Here is an 18472-nt window from a genome sequence, read left to right as displayed (position 1 = left end):
GAGCAAGTGGACCTGGGTCAGAGACTGAGACTGTGACCAGCCCAGTGACAAGAACAAAGTCTAGTGGACCCTGCAGGGAGGCAACCTGCCACCTCGAGCAACTTTGCTTAACAGCCAAATTGGTTGAGAGCTCTGCCCAAAGCCAATGAGCTCAGTTTCAGTGCAGATGGAGTTAGGGGTGTCTTTCTTTCCCTGTGGCAACAGGCAAGTGGAGAAAGACCCATGGCTAAGCAGATCCAAACTGTGAGGTTTCGCAAGGGGCAGGGAGCCACTGGACTTCCAGGAATAGAGCAACCAAAAAAGTCTGCAGCAAACTGGCAATGTGAGCTCTGGCTATTAGCAAAATGGGTGGGCTCTACCTGAACTGCTCACTTTCTTCCTTGAAAAGTTTCCTCTTCCTGTGACTAGCATGTAAGTGGCAGTGGCTCAGCACTGTCTAATTACCTCTGCCCTTAGTGACCCTGAATCCCAAGGGGTGAGGACTCAGGAGCCAGTCTCCCACCCCCAGGTCAGAGAAGCGCATTCACTGGCATCATTCGAACAATGAGTCCATTTTAATAGGGTGCTCTCATCTCTAGGTGAGTTTGAAAACACTGTGACAGGAAGGAAAATAATTGCATTTTCTCCCAAAGCTGCCGGAAATAATTTCTACTTTAATGGTGAAAACAGGACTCCTTGTATTTCTGGACATTTTACATTGCAGGCTGTAATGAGCGAGAAAATGTCTTTCTTTTAATAGCTAATCCTCTGATGCTTTGTGTCTGGGAAGGTAACTTGATGTGGCAAATTATCATTGTCGAAGAGAGAGATTGAGCCAGGAACAGCATCATTGCTTTGTCCACTGCGTCACTTAGCTCTTATTAGCGTAGCCAGAAAATTGGCGTTTGTTCTCAACAGTACATTTTTTTCAGAGATGGGCCATCACCAGGCACAGCCCCACTCAGATCTAGGAAGGGAGGGGAGGCATCATACAGCAACTTCTCCCAGGGGCACCAGACTCCTTTAAGTGAACTCACTGGTGTGATAGCCATGAAGAGGCACACCATCTTCCTCCCCTTCTCCCCTGCTTAGCCCCAGCCACTCCCAGGAGCCCATGGAGCTGGATTAGTTTTTGTACTGTGGTGAGCATGATCTAGAGGTTTTCACCCAAAAGCAGGGTTTCGCTAGGGTCAGAGCAGGAGCCTGAGTGGGCAGGGAGAGATGTCAGAGGGAAATGGGTATGGAGCTGCAAATGGGCAATCCTCAGACCACCTGCCCAGAGTCATAACTTTACCTGGGACCAGCGCCGAGCACTTTCATCCTCTTGCCTTGGCCCCTTCTTCCAATTCCTCTTCCTTAGGGGCCTTATTTTCCCTTCATATATACATTTGTTTTTCAATTGTGTCTTTAATTGGGGTGTTCTTTAAGCTTAAATGCATGACTTGTTATTTTTTCGTATATGAGTGGAAACTGCCCTTAATCTTTTGGTTCACATTCCATACATGTGGGGAGGTGTCCATGTTTATAATTAACCTTCCGTGATATTTTTGATGTCCTTTTACTTGGGAAGTCTTATTTCACAACAAATGTTTCTGAATTCCCTGCATTTCAGGTATTTAATATCCTAACAAGTTAGATTTATAAATATTTATCGTATTTCCAACAGTTTTCAATGGCATCATATTTTACTGTTTTTCCACAAAGCATTTTTGAGATGTATTCCACAAAATGTTTTTTTCATTTTGATAGTTGTGAGATATTCTCATCAGTATGAATACAGTTAAATGTTGTAATACCACTATCATTGAAATGCATTTTTTACATTGTGACTTAAGCACACATGAGATTTTTTCCCCCAAAAGCTAGCCAAATTCTCTAGATTAGCCCCTTCTTTTACTCTGAACACACATCTCTGAGATGGTTGCCTAAATATAGGCATAGTTTTTTAGGTTACATAGACTTTTTTTAAATAAGCAAATTTTATGGCCCAGTGAATTACTGAATACTTTAAGAAGATCTGTATTAAATTAATCTGGATTTAGGTGTAAAATGTTTATTATGTAAGTGGTTCACTATGCTTCACTATGGAGAAAAGAGAAAAATGCTATTGCCTATACACATTCAAAACGTTGAACTAACATTATTTCTGTAGACCTTTCCTTATTTTTTCATGGTAACAAGGAAAAGATGTAAAGCCAAGGTAACTGCCTGATGGTACAATTTCTTCAGATAAAGTTGAAGATATGGACATGATGTCACTGGGTTCCTCTTCGGAACAGAGAACAAGAAGGACCTGGGTCAGGGGCTTTCTTTTTTGGCTTTCTGTCTCACTCCCAAAAGAATATTAAAATAATACACCACATAATGTTTAAACACATTTAGCTCTGTAAGAAAGAGTCCATTTTAAGGTCTTATTCCTGACTCAAATGTTGTGGTCATCCTGGAATAACCTTAATACACAAACTCTTCCTATGAGATTTTTGTTTAGCTTACTCTTACAAATGTTGCAGACTAACATTAAGCATTGGTGTTAAGCAATATTTTCATTGACAAATTCACTAAAATAGAACCCTAGAATGTTGAGGTCAGAGGCCGCCTTTGAAAGTATATGGTTTAAGCTCCTTATTTTGCAAATGGAGAATCTTGAGAACAAAGGAGAAGGCAGTCATGAAAATAGTGGCAAAGTCCAGACCATTGCTCCATAACAATGAGTCATTGGCCTTGTGTACATACGTACTGATTCAGGTTATGCCAATAAGCCCTATTATGGTATTCATGGTCAAGTTTATTAAAATGCTTCCTCAGCCCCAGTCCTCATTCCTCTTTCACACTGTAGACTCACACTGCTAAATAATATGTTTTGGTATCTGGTTAACTTCACTTTGAGGCAAAATTTAAAAGAGGGGGATTTTGGATTTGACAATGGATCTGAGAGACAAGTGTTTCACTTAGCTATGTAGCTATAGACATGTAACAGGATTCCAAACTGTAATTTAATATCAATCTTAATCTTCATCCAAAAAATTTTCATGGACCTCAGTTTTGAACTATAGGAATTTTGTAAGCATGATTTAAACACATGCTCTAGAATCTAAACCTTTTGGTTTATATTCAGCTGATGATGGTCATCTTTCATTCTGTCCTTTATGGAGCCTCTATATCAGTGGTTCCCAACATTGACTCCATCAGAATCACTCATGGATACTTTAAAAGATCATACGTACTAGGTACTATATGAATTCATTCACTGATATGAAATTTGAGGCAAACTGATTTATAGTTACAGACAGCAGATCAGTGACTGTCTAGGACCAAAAATGGGATGAATTGACTCGAATGGGACAGAAGAGAACTTTCTGGGGTTGTGGAAATAGTTCTATATTTAGTTGCGTATATATTTGTCCCTGCTCCTTGAACTTTCACTTAAATCGGGTGCATTTTTAGATGATAATTATACTTCAATAAAGTTGATTACCTCTCAAACCAAAAAAGCATGTGATGAGGGCCTACATGCAGAGGTTCTGGCTAAGTGGATTTTGCATGGGTTTCCACTATCAACATATGAGATTCAGATGAGAAACCATGGTTAAGAACTTCTCTTGTAAATACTAGAGTCTAAGGTGAGCTTTCTGTAATTGACATGTAAGGTTTCAGATCAAGCATTTTTATCTCCTTCATTTCAAATAACATTATAAAATACCATTTTCAATGGCATGTTTAAATTAATTGACCTGCCTTGATAGTATTAGCAAAAATTTCTTTAATGACTGTGAAATGTAAAGTGAACATATATATATTTTTTTCTTAGTTTTGTGCTCCCCTCCCGGGAATGTAAGCAATTTCTCTGTCCTGGATTATTGGTTCATCTCCATTGCTTTGTGTTCCTATCACTGCCTTTATTACTAAAAAAGCACACAAGTGAGTGCTGAGTGCTTGAAGGACACTTTCTTTGGGTGTGCAAGAAATGCCTAATTTTAAGCAAGTTCGCATCTTTGGAAAGTGTAAGATGTCAGCATAAGTAAGTAGGGTACTGACTGTCTAGGAAAGCAAAGTGAGACAAGATCTTAGAGGACATTGGGAATTTCAATTCTATGGTATTGTTGAATTAGCAGATATAATACTTTGTCTCAAAATGGTACCTTCCAAAGCACTGAGAATGTCAGCTTGAGATCTTGAGGAGTCTTAAGTCACTGGGTCCCAAAGTCCCACCCAGGAGCTGTAGATGTATTCAGCGTTTATCTGGACTCAGTACTCAGTTCCCTACATGTACTTCTTACCCTGTATTGAGACTATCTTCACGTTTAACCTGTGGGCTCATTCAGGACAGGAATTATATATTTCATACCTGTGTCATCAGTTTATAAAACATTGCGTGGCGTAGCCAAGGTCCTAGGTCATAGAATGAGTTAATGAACTTCAGAAGCCAAACACTCGTAACTACATACTGAAATATACAAAATACAGTGTATTTCTATACAAAATATAGAAAATGCAGTGACCTTCACAACTAATGCTTTTGTTCTAAACACTATTTCTTTCTTTTGGGTTATTTTTTGGGTTATTTTCTTCAAAGTTGTTGCATAACTAAAGAGTATGAAAATGTCTCAAAGCATCTACTGCATACAAAATATCAGGCAATGTTCTATGTAGGAGTAGTGAGAGGCTATGGAGTTAATGTATTGGGACAATGAAATGATCTGGCTGACGTCACATACCAGGTTAATCACTGTTTTCCCGGATGAGATCTGAAGGAAGGTCTGTGTTCCAGGCTTCTAAAAATAAAGACTTGCATTCTTGTATTTAACACTCCATATTCCAAGGTAATAACTCCATATCTCCACTGACTACTGTGTGTGTACAGAAATTCTAACTGTTGTTATTTTTACCAATGGAACATTCTTCTGTTGAGCTAATAAGATGCGGCAGTTGTGATCAGGGATGCACTAAAGAATCACAGTTTGCTAATAAAATTTGATGACAAAATTTGTTTCATCTGGAATCACATACGATCCACAAATACAAGTGATCCCCTTTGGGCATTTGTCTTGGTATATGCAGTTATTTTTCTGTGGGAGAATCCCTTGAGCTCAAGAGTTCAAGACGAACTTGGGCATCATGGTGCGGCTGCATTTCTACAAAAAATAATTTTTTAAAATTAGCTGGGTGTGGTCATGAGCGCCTGTAGTCCCAGCTACTCAGGTGACTGAGGAGAAAGGATCATTTGAACCCTGGAAGTCGAGGCTGCACTGTAATCCAGCCTGGGTGACAGAGTGAGATCCTGTCTCAAAAAGAAAAAAGAGAAAGTATTTTTCATGTCTAGAAACATTGAAATTTACTGCTGTAGAAATGCAGAGCATTTCTGCGTTCTTATATATACTCTCTTATGAGTTGTATTCTTCGATCATTTGTTGCCAAAATTTTAATGACTATGCCTCCTGTATAACTGTGCACTAAGATGACTTTTATTTTTCTTTGTTTTAAAAAATTTATTTTCTTTTAAGTTCTGGGATACATGTGCAGTACACGCAGATTTGTTACATAGGTAAACGTGCCATGGTGGTTTGCTGCACCTATTAACCCATCACTTAGGTATTAAGCCCCGCATGCATTAGCTATTTATCCTGATTATCTTCCTTCCCCTGCCTCTGCCCAGACCCCAGTGTGCATTGTTCCCCTCTCTGTGTCCATGTGTTCTCATTGTTTAGTTCCCACTTATAAGTGAGAACACATGGTGTTTGGTTTTCTGTTCCTGTGTTAGTTTGCTGAGGATAATGGCTTCCAGCTCCATCCACGTCCCTGCAAAGGACATGATCTTGTTCCTTTTTATGGCTGCATAGTATTCCATGGTGTATATTTACCACATTTTCTTTATCCAGTCTATCATTGATGGGCATTTGGGTTGATGCCATGTCTTTGCTGTTATGAATAGTTATGCAGTCCTGTTTGTAAGAAACTGGCTTCCTGATCTTTATCAGAGTTAGTCCCATTTCCATACCACCATGTACTTTGTCCTCTAAAGTTTATCCTTCATAGATTTATTTTTTAGTTTTTTTGAAATTATATTATTATATTTCAAAATATATGTTCTATTATGGATTCAAGGAGCTAAACAATGGGTACACATGGACATAAAATGGAAATAATAGACACTGGTGACTCCAAAATGGGGGAGGGTGTTGAGAGAGTGGGGGTTGAAAAATTATCTTCAGACATTTCTGTTTGTTCCCAGCCACAGTCTCCAAGGCAGTGGTGAAATTTTTGGCAGAGACAATTTCCTTCTCCTATTATGTGATACAAATGCTGGTATTTTTGTTCTTTGTGACTACTGAATGCAATCTTTTAGCCTCCCTGGGCAAGGACATTTATATGCCAATCAGACAACCCATGCTCTATCCTGTCACTATGTCCCAAGTTTGTTGTATCCAATTAGTGGCTTCATGTTACGGGCATGGAGTTATCCATACTATGTTTTTAGGAGGTTCAATCTCTATATTTGCCTTTTGTAAGTTCAAACCATCATCAGCTTTTTTGGTGACAGTTTCCCACTCTTGGTCCTCTCCTGCTCAGACACCTACATAATGAATTCTTTGTTCTTTTTCACTGGGTGCTTCATTTGGATGAGCTCTTGACCAGTCATCCTTGTCTCCCACATGTTCATCATTGTCACTTTCTTGAGGATCTTCTCAGTTGTAGTTGAATCTAAAGGTTTTCTTGCTTTTTCTTCACATCTAACTGCTATCATTCTCTTCTATGGGGACATTATATTTATATATGTGACATTCTTCCAACTATTTTCTGAACCAAGACCAGACTGTATCCATTTTCTACATGGTAAGAATTCTTTTGTTAAGCCCCATTATCTATTGTTTAATAAAAATGCAAGTGATTTGTTTTCTTGAAAATGCTCCTTTTGATGAGTTCATGTCCTTTGTAGGGACATGGATGAAGCTGGAAACCATCATTCTCAGCAAATTATCGCAAGGACAAAAAACCAAACACCGCGTGTTCTCACTCATAGGTGGGAATTGAACAATGAGAACACTTGGACACAGGAAGGGGAACATCACACACCAGGGCCTGTTGTGGGGTTGGGGGAGGGTGGAAGGATAGCATTAGGAGATATACCTAATGCTAAATGACGAGTTAATGGGTGCAGCACACCAACATGGCATATGTATACATATGTAACAAACCTGCACGTTGTGCACATGTACCCTAGAACTTAAAGTATAATAATAAAAAAATTCAAAACCCAAAAAAAAGAAAGAAAATGCTCCTTTATAAAGTTCAAGGCCAGTCTTCATAAGAACTACACAAGAAGATGCTTAAGAAACATTATTTTTTAAAATGTTTGATACATAAGTAAATTACTTTGAACTGAAATTTTCCTTTGAATTCTCATACTCTTTTAGTTTTTTCCACATCTGTATTTATTTTCAAATTATTTTCTTTACTTCTTTTGGACAGCGTTTTAAATCCCTATCCTTCTTGAGGTAAACTTCCAGATGACTTGCAATATAGGTAATGTCCTTTTGGACCTTCAGCATCTAAACATGTAAAGAAGAAAGGAAGGAAACAGAGAGGGAAGCTCACACGTAATAAGAATGTATTATGTGACAGGCACTTTATACCCAATATTTTACTTAGCCTATAAAACAAATCATTGAGATAGTTATTACTAACCTCACTTTTCACATGTAGAAATTGAGGACCAAATAAATGAAATGATTTGCCCTAGGTCATACAGGTAAAAATTGGATTGAGAAATAAAGAATTAAGAATTAAAACCAGGTCTGTCAGATACTGTGTCTATCAATTTACCCTACAAAAACTGCTTCTCCATAATTTCCATTAGGCATTTCATTCTGTTCTCATTCAAAATGCAAAAGCATCATTCATTTTTCAATGTATTTATGTGTTTCTTTCTTTGGTTGCTAAATGGTGTATAGAAGACTACATTACACTGTAAGCTCTCAGGGACAAGAGCTATCTTCCTTATCTGGTGTTGAGAGCATCATGAGCAGATACACCTGTAATAAAGGCATCGAGTTTCCTCATTTCTTCATACAAAATCGCATAAGTATGTCACATGTTTCTTTTTTATATTTTTGAGGAATCTCAAATTACATGCTGTAGGCAACTGTTGGCTTAATCTATAAATGAATTTGTTCTGGCTATGGAATATGCAATCAGATCTACTGAAGATCCAGATATTTTGGGATCAGGTGATTGATTTATCTAAAATCCCAGATCAGGCATAATTCTGCCCAAGATCTTGGACTTAAGGGCAAATTTTTATTCATTCATTTCATAAGTAGTTTTAGCCCCTACTCTGTGAAAAGGTCCGGGATGGAAAGTAGGGCCTCAGAAATGAAGAAGATATAGTCTCTGTCTTCTGGAAGCCACATGTTCAGAAATGCTCCCTTCCCTCCAAAATGGCAAAATCAGCAGCATAGAGGCAGGGCCTTTTCTTTGGTATTTTCATTTGCAATACAGGCACTACAGAAAAGGATTTTCTGTCATCTCACCGACATCTTAGGCTGAACACGATCTGCTCTGGCCTCTTCTGGCCTTATGATAGGTCCTGGGAACTGAAATCTTATTTTCTTGGCATGGCAACAGTCCACCTCTTTACTTCCTTTTTTTGTATACCTTTATTTTTGCTTGTCTGTCATCAACTTGGTAAGTGAGTTTAGAAACTGCATATGTTTGTCCTACAACAAGAATCTTGAGTAGTTCAGAAGGGGCTAGGGAGGAGAGGAGATCTTCCTTAGGGCATGGGCAACCTGTAGTCATCACTACTATAAATTCTTGCATCCTATTAGAGACCAAATTTCTACATATGACCAAAGTTAAAGTGAGGAGTAGACTAAAGGGCAGGCGCCCAGGTCCCTTCCCTCAGGTTTAATCACAACAGCTCTGCTTCTATCTTTTTAATATGCACTAACTTTTCCCTTAACTGAGCTTCATGTAAACGCTCTAAATTAAAGACACTATCCATTCTCTGTGAAAAATTTTCAGGCCAGTGGCAATACCCCAGTGAATAATTGTAACTAGTTGGCTAGTCTCTCTCTCTCTTCTGAGACAGGGACTTGCCATGTTGCCCAGGCTGGAGTGCAGTGGCATGATTACAGCTCACTGCAGCCCTGACTTCCTGGGCTCAAGCAATCCTCCCACCTCAGCCTCCCAAGTATCTGGGACCATAGGTGTCTGCCACCACACCTGGCTATTTTTTTTTTATTATTTTTTGTAGCTATGGGGTCTCATCATGTTGCCCAGACTGGTCTCGAACTCTTGCTTCAAGCAATCATCCCACCTCAGCCTCCCAAATTGCTGGGATTAAAAGCATGAGCCACTGCGTCCAGCCCGTTGGCTATCCTCTAATATGCCCACATCATTATGGTCCTATGCCACCAATCCTGTCTTACTTTACAAAGTAACAATTGTGTTTTTCCCAAAACCTGTTTTTGTTACTTGCATTTGTTTTTTAATCATAATTTTATTTTATTTTTTAAAATTTATTTATTTATTTTTTAATATTATACTTTAAGTTCTGGGATACATGTGCAGAATGTGCAGTTTTGTTACATAGGTATACACATGCCATGGTGGTTTGCTGCACCCATCAACCCGTCATCTACATTAGGTATTTCTCCTAATGCTATCCCTCCCCTAGCCCCCCACCTTCCAACAGGTCCCAGTGTGTGATGTTCCCCTCCTTGTGTCCATGCGTTCTCATTGTTCAACTCCCACTTATGAGGGAGAACATGTGGTGTTTGGTTTTCTGTTCCTGTGTTAGTTTGCTGAGAATGATGGTTTCCAGCTTCATCCATGTCCCTGCAAAGGACACGAACTCATCCTTTTTTATGGCTGCATAGTATTCCATGGAGTATATGTGCCACATTTTCTTTATCCATCTATCATTGATGGGCATTTGGGTTGGTTCCAAGTCTTTGCTATTGTTAATACTGCTGCAATAAACATATGTGTGCCTGTGTCTTTATAGTAGAATGATTTATAATCCTTTGGGTATATACCCAGTAATGGGATTGCTGGATCAAATGGTATTTCTGGTTCTAGATCCTTGAGGAATCACCACACTGTCTTCCACGATGGTTGAACTAATTTACACTCCCACCAACAGTGTAAAAGCATTCCTATTTCTCCACATCCTCTCCAGCATCTGTTATTTCCTGACTTTATAAAGATCACCCTTCTAACGGGCGTGAGATGGTATCTCATTGTGATTTTGACTTGCATTTCTCTAATGAGCAGTGATGATGAGCTTTTTTTCATGTTTGTTTGGCCACATAAATGTCTTCTTTTGAGAAGTCTCTGTTCATATCCTTTGCCCACTTTTTGACAGGTTTTTTTTCCTTGTAAATTTGTTTAAGTTCCTTATAGATTCTGGATGTTAGCCCTTTGTCAGATGGATAGATTGCAAAAATTTTCTCCCATTCTGTAGGCTGCCTATTCACTCTGATGATAGTTTCTTTTGCTGTGCAGAAGCTCTTTAGTTTAATTAGATCCCATTTGTCAATTTTGGCTTTTGTTGTCATTGCTTTTGGTGTTTTAGTCATGAAGTCTTTGTCCATGCTTATGTCCTGAATGGTATTGCCTAGGTTTTCTTCTAGGGTTTTTACGGTTTTGGGTCTTAGGTTTAAATCTTTAAGCCATCTTGAGTTAATTTTTGTATAAGGTGTAGGAAGGGGTCCAGTTTCAGTTTTCTGCATATGGCTAGCCAGTTTTCCCAACACCATTTATTACATAGGGAATCCTTTCCCCATTTCTTGTTTTTGTCAGGTTTGTCAAAGATCAGATGGTTGTAGATGTGTGGAGCTATTTCTGAGGCCTCTGTTCTGTTCCATTGGTCTATATCTCTGTCTTGGTACCAGTGCCATGCTGTTTTGGTTACTGTAGCCTTGTATAGTTTGAAGTCAGGTACTGTGATGCCTCCAGCTTTGTTCTGTTTGCTTAGGATTCTTAGGATTTTCTTGGCTATATGGGCTCTTTTTTGGTTCCATATGAAATTTAAAGTAGTTTTTTCTAATTGTGTGAAGAAGGTCAATGGTAGCTTGATGGGGATAGCATTGAATCTATAAATTACTTTGGGCAGTATGGCCATTTTCACGATATTGATTCTTCCTATCCATGAGCACGGAATGTTGTTCCATTTGTTTGTGTCCTTATTTCCTTGAGCAGTGGTTTGTAGTTCTCCTTGAAGAGGTCCTTCACATCCCTTGTAAGTTGGATTCCTAGGTATTTTATTCTCTTTGTAGCAATTGTGAATGGGAATTCACTCAAGATTTGGCTCTCTGTTTGTCTATTATTGGCGTATAGGAATGCTTGTGAGTTTTGAATGTTGATTTTGTATCCTGAGATTTTGCTGAAGTTACTTATCAGCTTTAAGAGATTTGGGGCTGAGACGATAGGGTTTTCTAAATATACAACCATGTCATCTGCAAACAGAGACAATTTGACTTCCTCTCTTCCTATTTAAATGCCCTTTATTACTTTCTCTTGCCTGATTGCCCTGGCCAGAACTTCTAATACTATGTTGAACAGGAGTAGTGAGAGAGGGCATCCTTGTCTTGTGCCTGTGTTCAAAGGGAATGCTTCCAGCTTTTGCCCACTCAGTATGATCTTGGCTGTGGGTTTGTCATAAATAGCTCTTATTATTTTGAGATACATTCCATCAATACCTAGTTTATTGAGAGTTTTTAGCATGAAGGGCTGTTGAATTTTATTGAAGGCCTTTTCTACATCTATTGAGATAATCATGTAATTTTTGTTATTAGTTCTGTTTTTGTGATTGATTACATTTATTGATTTGTGTATATTGAACCAGCCTTGCTTCCCAGGGATGAAGCCGACTTGATCGTGGTGGATAAGGTTTTTGATGTGCTGCTGGATTTGGCTTGCCAGTTTTTTATTGACGATTTTCGCATTGATGTTCATCAGGGATATTGGCCTGAAATTTTCTTATTTTGTTGTGTCTCTGCCAGGTTTTGGTATCTGGATGATGCTGGCCTCATAAAATGAGTGAGGGAGGATTCCCTCTTTTTCTATTGATTGGAATAGTTTCAGAAGGAATGGTACCAGCTCCTCTTTGTACCTCTGGTAGAATTCGGCTGTGAATCCTTCTGGTCCTGGGCTTTTTTTGGTTGATAGGCTACTAATTACTGTGTCAATTTCAGAACTTGTTATTGGTCTATTCAGGGTTTCTAATTCTTCCTGGTTTAGTCTTGGGAGGGTGTATGTGTCCAGGAATTTATCCATTTCTTCTAGATTTTCTAGTTTATTTTTATAGAGGTGTTTATACTATTCTGTGATGGTAGTTTGTATTTCTGTGGGATCAGTGGTGATATCTCTTTATCATATTTTTTGGTATCTATTTGATTCTTCTCTTTTTTCTTCTTTATTAGTCTGGCTAATGGTCTATCCATTTTGTTAATCTTTTCAATAAAACATCTCCTGGATTCATTGATTTTTTTGAAGAGTTTTTCATGTCTCTATCTCCTTCAGTTCTGCTCTGATCTTAGTTATTTCTCATCTTGTGCTAGCTTTTGAATTTCTTTGCTCTTGTTTCTCTTGTTCTTTTAATTGTGATGTTAAGGTTTCAATTTTATAGCTTTCCTGCTTCCTCCTGTGGGCATTTAATGCTATAAATTTCCCTCTAAACCCTGCTTTAGCTGTGTCCCAGAGATTCTTGTACATTGTGTCTTTGTTCTCATCAGTTTCAAAGAACTTATTTATTTCTGCCTTTATTTCGTTCTGTGCCCAGTAGTCATTCAGGAGCAGGTTGTTCAGTTTCCATGTAGTTGTGCGGTTTTGAGTGAGTTTCTTAATCCTGAGTTCTAATTTGATTGCACTGTGGTCTGAGAGACTGTTTGTTATGATTTCTGTTCTTTTGCATTTGCTGAGGAGTGATGTACTTCCAACTATGTGGTCAACTTTAGAATAAGTGTGATGTGATGCTGAGAAGAATGTATATTCTGTTGATTTGGGGTGAGGAGTTCTGTAGATGTCTATTAGGTCTGCTTGGTCCAGAGCTGAGCTCAAGTCCTGAATACCTTTGTTAATTTTCTGTCTCATTGATCTGTCCATTATTGACAGTGGGGTGTTAAAGTCTCCCACTATTATTGTGTGGGAGTCTAAGTCTCTTTGTATGTCTCTAAGAACTTGCTTTATGAATCTGGGTGCTCCTGTATTGGGTGCATACATATTTATGATAGTTAATTCTTCTTGTTGCATTGATCCCTTTACCATTACGTAATGCCCTTCTTTGTCTTTTTTGATCTTTCTTGGTTTAAAGTCTGTTTTATCAGAGACTAGTATTGCAACCCCTGTTGTGTTTTTTTTTCCTTTTCATTTGCTTGGCATATATTCCTCCTTCCCTTTATTTTGAGCCTAAGTGTGTCTTTGCATGTGAGATGGGTCCCCTGAATACAGCACACCAATGGGCCTTGACTCTATCCAGTTTGCCAGTCTGTGTCTTTTAACTGGGACACTTAGCTCATTTACATTTAAGGGTAATATTTTTATGTGTGAATTTGATCCTGTCATTAGGATGCTGTTAGTTGATGGAGTTTCTTCGTAGTGTTGATGGTCTTTACAATTTGGTAGGTTTTTGCAGTGGCTGGTACCGGTTTTTCCTTTCCATATTTAGTGCTTCCTTCAGGAGCTTTTGTAAGGCAGGCCTGGTGGTGACAAAATCTCTCAGCATTTGCTTGTCTGTAAAGGATTTTATTTCTCCTTCACTTATGAAGCTTAGTTTGGCTGGATATGAAATCCTGGGTTGAAAATTCTTTTTAAAAAAACGTTGAATATTGCCCCCCACTCTCTTCTGGCTTGTAGGGTTTCTGCAGAGAGATCTGCTGTTAGTCTGATGGGCTTCACTTTGTGGTTAACCCGACCTTTCTCTCTGGCTGCCCTTAACATTTTTTCCTTCATTTCAGCCTTGGTGAATCTGACGATTATGTGTCTTGGGGTTGCTCTTCTCGAGGAGTATATTTGTGGTGTTCTCTGTATTTCCTGAATTTGAATGTTGGCCTGTCTTGCTAGGTTGGGGAAGTTCTCCTGGATAATATCCTGGAGAGTGTTTTCCAACTTGGTTCCATTCCCTCCATCACTTACAGGTACGCAAATCAAACGTAGGTTTGGTCTTTTCACAGTCCCAAATTTCTTGGAGGCTTTATTCATTCTTTTTCATTATTTTTTCTCTAATCTTGTCTTCATGCTTTATTTCCTTAAGTTGATTTTCAATCTCTGACATCCTTTCTTCCACTTGATCGATTTGGCTATTGATACTTGTTTATGCTTCACGAAGTCCTCGTGCTGTATTCTTCAGCTCCATCAGGTCATTTATGTTCTTCTCTAAAGTGGTTATTCTAGTTAGCAGTTCCTCTAACCTTTTTTTCAAGGTTCTTAGCTTCCTTGCATTGGGTTAGAACACGATCCTTTAGCTCAGAGGAATTTGTTATTACCCACCTTCGGAAGCCTACTTCTGTGAATTCGTCAAGCTCATTCTCTGTCCAGTTTTGTTTCCTTGCTGGCGAGGAGTTGTGATCGTTTGGAGGAAGAGAGGCATTCTCGTTTTTGGAATTTTCAGCCTTTTTGCACTGGTTTTTCCTCATCTTCATGGATTTATCTACCTTTGGTCTTTGATGTTGGTGACCTTCATATGAGCTTTTCGTGTGGACATCATTTTTGTTGATGTTGGTACTATTCCTTTCTGTTTGTTAGTTTTCCTTCTAACAGTCAGGCCCCTCTGCTGCTGGTCTGCTGGAGTTTACTGGAGGTCCACTCCAGACACTGTTGGCCTGGATATCACCAGCGGAGCCTGCAGAACAGCAAAGACTGCTGCTTGTTCCTCCCTTTGAAAGCTTCGTTCCAGAGGGGTACCCGCCAGATGCCAGCCAGAGCTCTCCTCTATGAGGTGTCTGTCGACCCCTGATGTGAGCTGTCTCCCAGTCAGGAGTCACGGGAGTCAGGGACCCACTTGAGGAGGCAGTCTGTCCCTTAGCAGAGCTCAAGCACTGTGCTGGGAGATCCACTTCCCTCTTCAGTGCCAGCAGGCAGGAACATTTAAGTCTGCTGAAGCTGTGCCCTCAGCCGCCCCTTGCCCCAGGTGCTCTGTCCCAGGGAGATGGGAGTCTTATCTATAAGCCCCTGACTGGGGCTGCTGCCTTTCCTTCAGGGATGCCCTGCCCAGAGAGGAGGAATCTAGAGAGGCAGTCTGGCTACAGTGGCTTTGCCAAGCTGTGATGGGCTCCACCCAGTTCGAACTTCCTGTTGGCTTTTTTTACACTGTGAGGGGAAAACCTCCTACTCAAGCCTCAGTAATGGAGGTCACCCCTCCCCCCACCAAGCTCCAGCATCCCAGGTCGACTTCAGACTGCTGTGGTGGCAGCGAGAATTTCAATCCAGTGGATCTTAGCTTGCTAGGCTCCATAGGGATGGAATCTGCTGAGCTAGACCACTTGGCTCCCTGGCTTCAGCCCCCTTTCCGGGGGAGTGAACGGTTCTGTCTTGTTGGCATTCCAGGCGCCACTGGGGTATGAAAAAAACTCCTGCAGCTAGCTCAGTGTCTGCCCAAAAGGCCACCCAGTTTTGTGCCTGAAAACCAGGGCCCTAGTGGTGTAGGCACCTGAGGGAATCTCCTGGTCTGCAGTTTGTGAAGACCATGGGAAAAGTGTAGTATCTGGGCTGGAATGCACCATTCCTCATGGCACAGTCCCTCATGGCTTCCCTTGGCTAGGGGAAGGAATTCCCTGACCCGTTGTGCTTCCCAGGTGAGGGGACACCCCACCCTGCTTCAGCTTGCCCTCTGTGGGCTGCACCCACTGTCTAACCAGTCCCAATGAGATGAGCCGAGTACCTCAGTAGGAAATGCAGAAATCACTCACCTTCTGTATTGATCTCGCTGCAGACCAGAGCTGTTCCTATTCAGCCGTATAGCCAGCCACCCCCCATAAGTTTAATTAAACCTAAATTAAGTTTAATTAAAATTATATGAAACAATAAAATATGAAGACGAAAGAAAGTCATTTCTATGAAAACAGTTGCATGCATTGAAAAGACTCAAAATAGGCAGGTCACTAAAAATATTGTATTAAATTAGATGTGAAAGATTGAAGACAAAGTTGAAAACTACCTAAGGAGGATTAAACATTTAGCTTGCTTTGTGATTGTCTTTAAGTTCTTGCTTCCCTTGTTAAAACATTGAAACTGGAAGCCAAAGCTGATGCATTTTGAATAATATATTATGGGGGGGATTTATGTAGAAATGGTTATGCAGAACTCAATCAGTTGACCCATAGTCAAGGAAAAGGTCTTGGCCCTACATCCAAAGATTAGCTAAGGAATATAACTTTACATGGAGTAAGTCAAGATAGCATATTCTGAAAAAAGTATTAACGGTATGTGTGTAAGGAGGTTTAATGACTCTTTGCTTTAGTTGACTTTTAAAATTAACTAAGCAATATCAAATCCTGATTGAATTAGCTAAAAACTCATTCATAAGGCAGAGTCCTGCTTAAGATTTTATCTTGAAGAAGACAAAGGAGAAGGATGAGAAGGAGGAAGGAGGAGGAGGAGGAGAAAAGGAGGAGGAGGAGAGAAGGAGGAGGAGGAGAGAAGCAGGAGGAGGAGAGAGGAGGAGGAGAGAAGGAGGGGGAGGAGAGAAGGAGGAGGAGGAGAGAAGGAGGAGGAGGAGAGAAGGAGGAGGAGAGAAGGAGGAGGAGAAGGACAAGAAAAAGAAGAAGGAGGAGAAAGAGGAGGAGGAGAAGAAGAAATAGAAGAATCATCCAGTGTTTCTCTAATTGTATGAGATGACTAGCTTTTTAAAATTTTCAAGTTTTCATAGATGAATGCTTTTATAAAATAAAAATTTCAGGGAAAGTGAAATCTCTCTGTTTCTAAATGCTCAGTCTCAGTTTCTAAACTTATGTCACACCTAATATCTCTATTGGCCAGTAACAAATAGTTGTGTGGTTGGAGTAGGTCTGCAAACTACACTTTGAGTAGCACTGGGTAGACCCAATGTGGTGCCTGTATAATCACAAAACCCTGAATCCAGCCCTGAAAGATGTCATAAACAATGAGCCAGGTTCTTTCAACCTGGGCAGTATAACTCAGTGGGATATGTCTTTGTGGTACCAGGTGCATGAATAGCCTAAAACATCCTCCATGACCAAACATTAGGATATTATACAGATATGGCATAAAAGGGCCCTGGTATCATGCCTTAACTTCCATAGTCATACAAAAATCCTTATGTACCTCAAGCCCTTCTATTCTTGTGTATGTTTTGTAACTTATTTTCTTTGTCCCTCTTGATTATTTTGGACTCCTTGTACCTACCCAGTATGTCACTTTTTTAGCCTCCTGTCTCAAAAGGTTTTAACCCCAGAGTGTCCTAGATATATGGCCAATGGGGGCAGCTGGGAGGCAGATGTTAGTATAACTAAGTCATGGATTATATCAGTGGGACAGTGACATTAATTACTCATCTAGGATAACTTAACAGATAGGCAATGAAACTAATATTTTCATTCTGAAGGAAGCTAATATTTTCATTCTGAAAAATGGTAACTTTTTAATTCAATTTATCTTACTGAGCACCCACTCTGTTCTCAGCATTATACTCAGACTAGAACCACAGAGATTAATAAAACATAGTTCTGCATCATTCCCCAAAACAGCTCAGGGCATGTTGGATAGCACCATACATATCGTGATAATTATAATTCATTTGCTAAGCTATATAATAACAAAGTAAAGTGCTATAGAGGAGAAAAGTAAGTAATTTTACCTAGAAAGATGTGAGAATTATGGAAGAATTCACAGAGGATGTAACACTTGAGATGGAGCCTTAAAGAAAGTGTTGAATGTCTGTAGGAAGAGAGAGTGGAACAGGGACTGGACATAACATGTAGACTAAAAATTCATAGCAAATTCATAGACTGCTCAAGGAATGACAAAGCGTTCAGTGTAGCTAGAAAGTAGGATGTACCAAGGATGGTGGGAGTTAGTGAGTGATGATTCATACTCCTGAAAATATAGGTGGGTCCAAGTGATAGAGGATCTTCAATGCTGAAGAACTTTGACTTTGGTGGGGAGCCTCAGTAGGGCTCAGAGTAAGACAAGTGACATGACTGTTTTCACCTTAATTTTTTATTCTTCTAGTACATCATTTTTCTTGCCTAGTATGTGGGAACAGTATAATATTTACTTTAAAGTGTTATTGTGAGAATTAAGTTATAGGTTGGAAGTTGTGAACTTTGACATGGTATTATCTAAAAGCTATTTTGAGATATCACCATCAGTTCCTCCCTTCCTTTTTTCTTTCCTTCCTTCTTTCTTTATCTATAATCTAGCATGTAGGGTTTGGTAGAGGGAGGAGACAGAAACTAAAAAATAGAGAACAATTGTTAAGCACGATACAACCATGTGCTTATTCAGGGAAAGTTCTGTATGTGAGTGGTGAAGA

At 39.6% G+C, this 18472-nt stretch overlaps 1 pseudogene, besides 1 other annotated feature; it reads left to right on the top strand.

Annotated features, from left to right (window-relative positions):
* Nucleotides 2590-2884: an enhancer, noted in NCBI's record as "tiled region #3295; HepG2 Activating DNase matched - State 9:DNaseU". NCBI's record gives its function as "activates a minimal TATA promoter and a strong SV40 promoter by Sharpr-MPRA in HepG2 cells {active_cell/tissue: HepG2}" and the evidence as "EXISTENCE:reporter gene assay evidence [ECO:0000049][PMID:27701403]".
* Nucleotides 6229-6855, top strand: LOC100421910 (olfactory receptor family 8 subfamily U member 3 pseudogene; annotated as a pseudogene).

Source organism: Homo sapiens, chromosome X (assembly GCF_000001405.40).
Source record: "Homo sapiens chromosome X, GRCh38.p14 Primary Assembly".
In the NCBI taxonomy this organism is placed as follows: Eukaryota; Metazoa; Chordata; class Mammalia; order Primates; family Hominidae; genus Homo; species Homo sapiens.
Note: the sequence above shows the minus strand (reverse complement) of the source record. Positions and strands in the feature narration are given on the sequence as shown.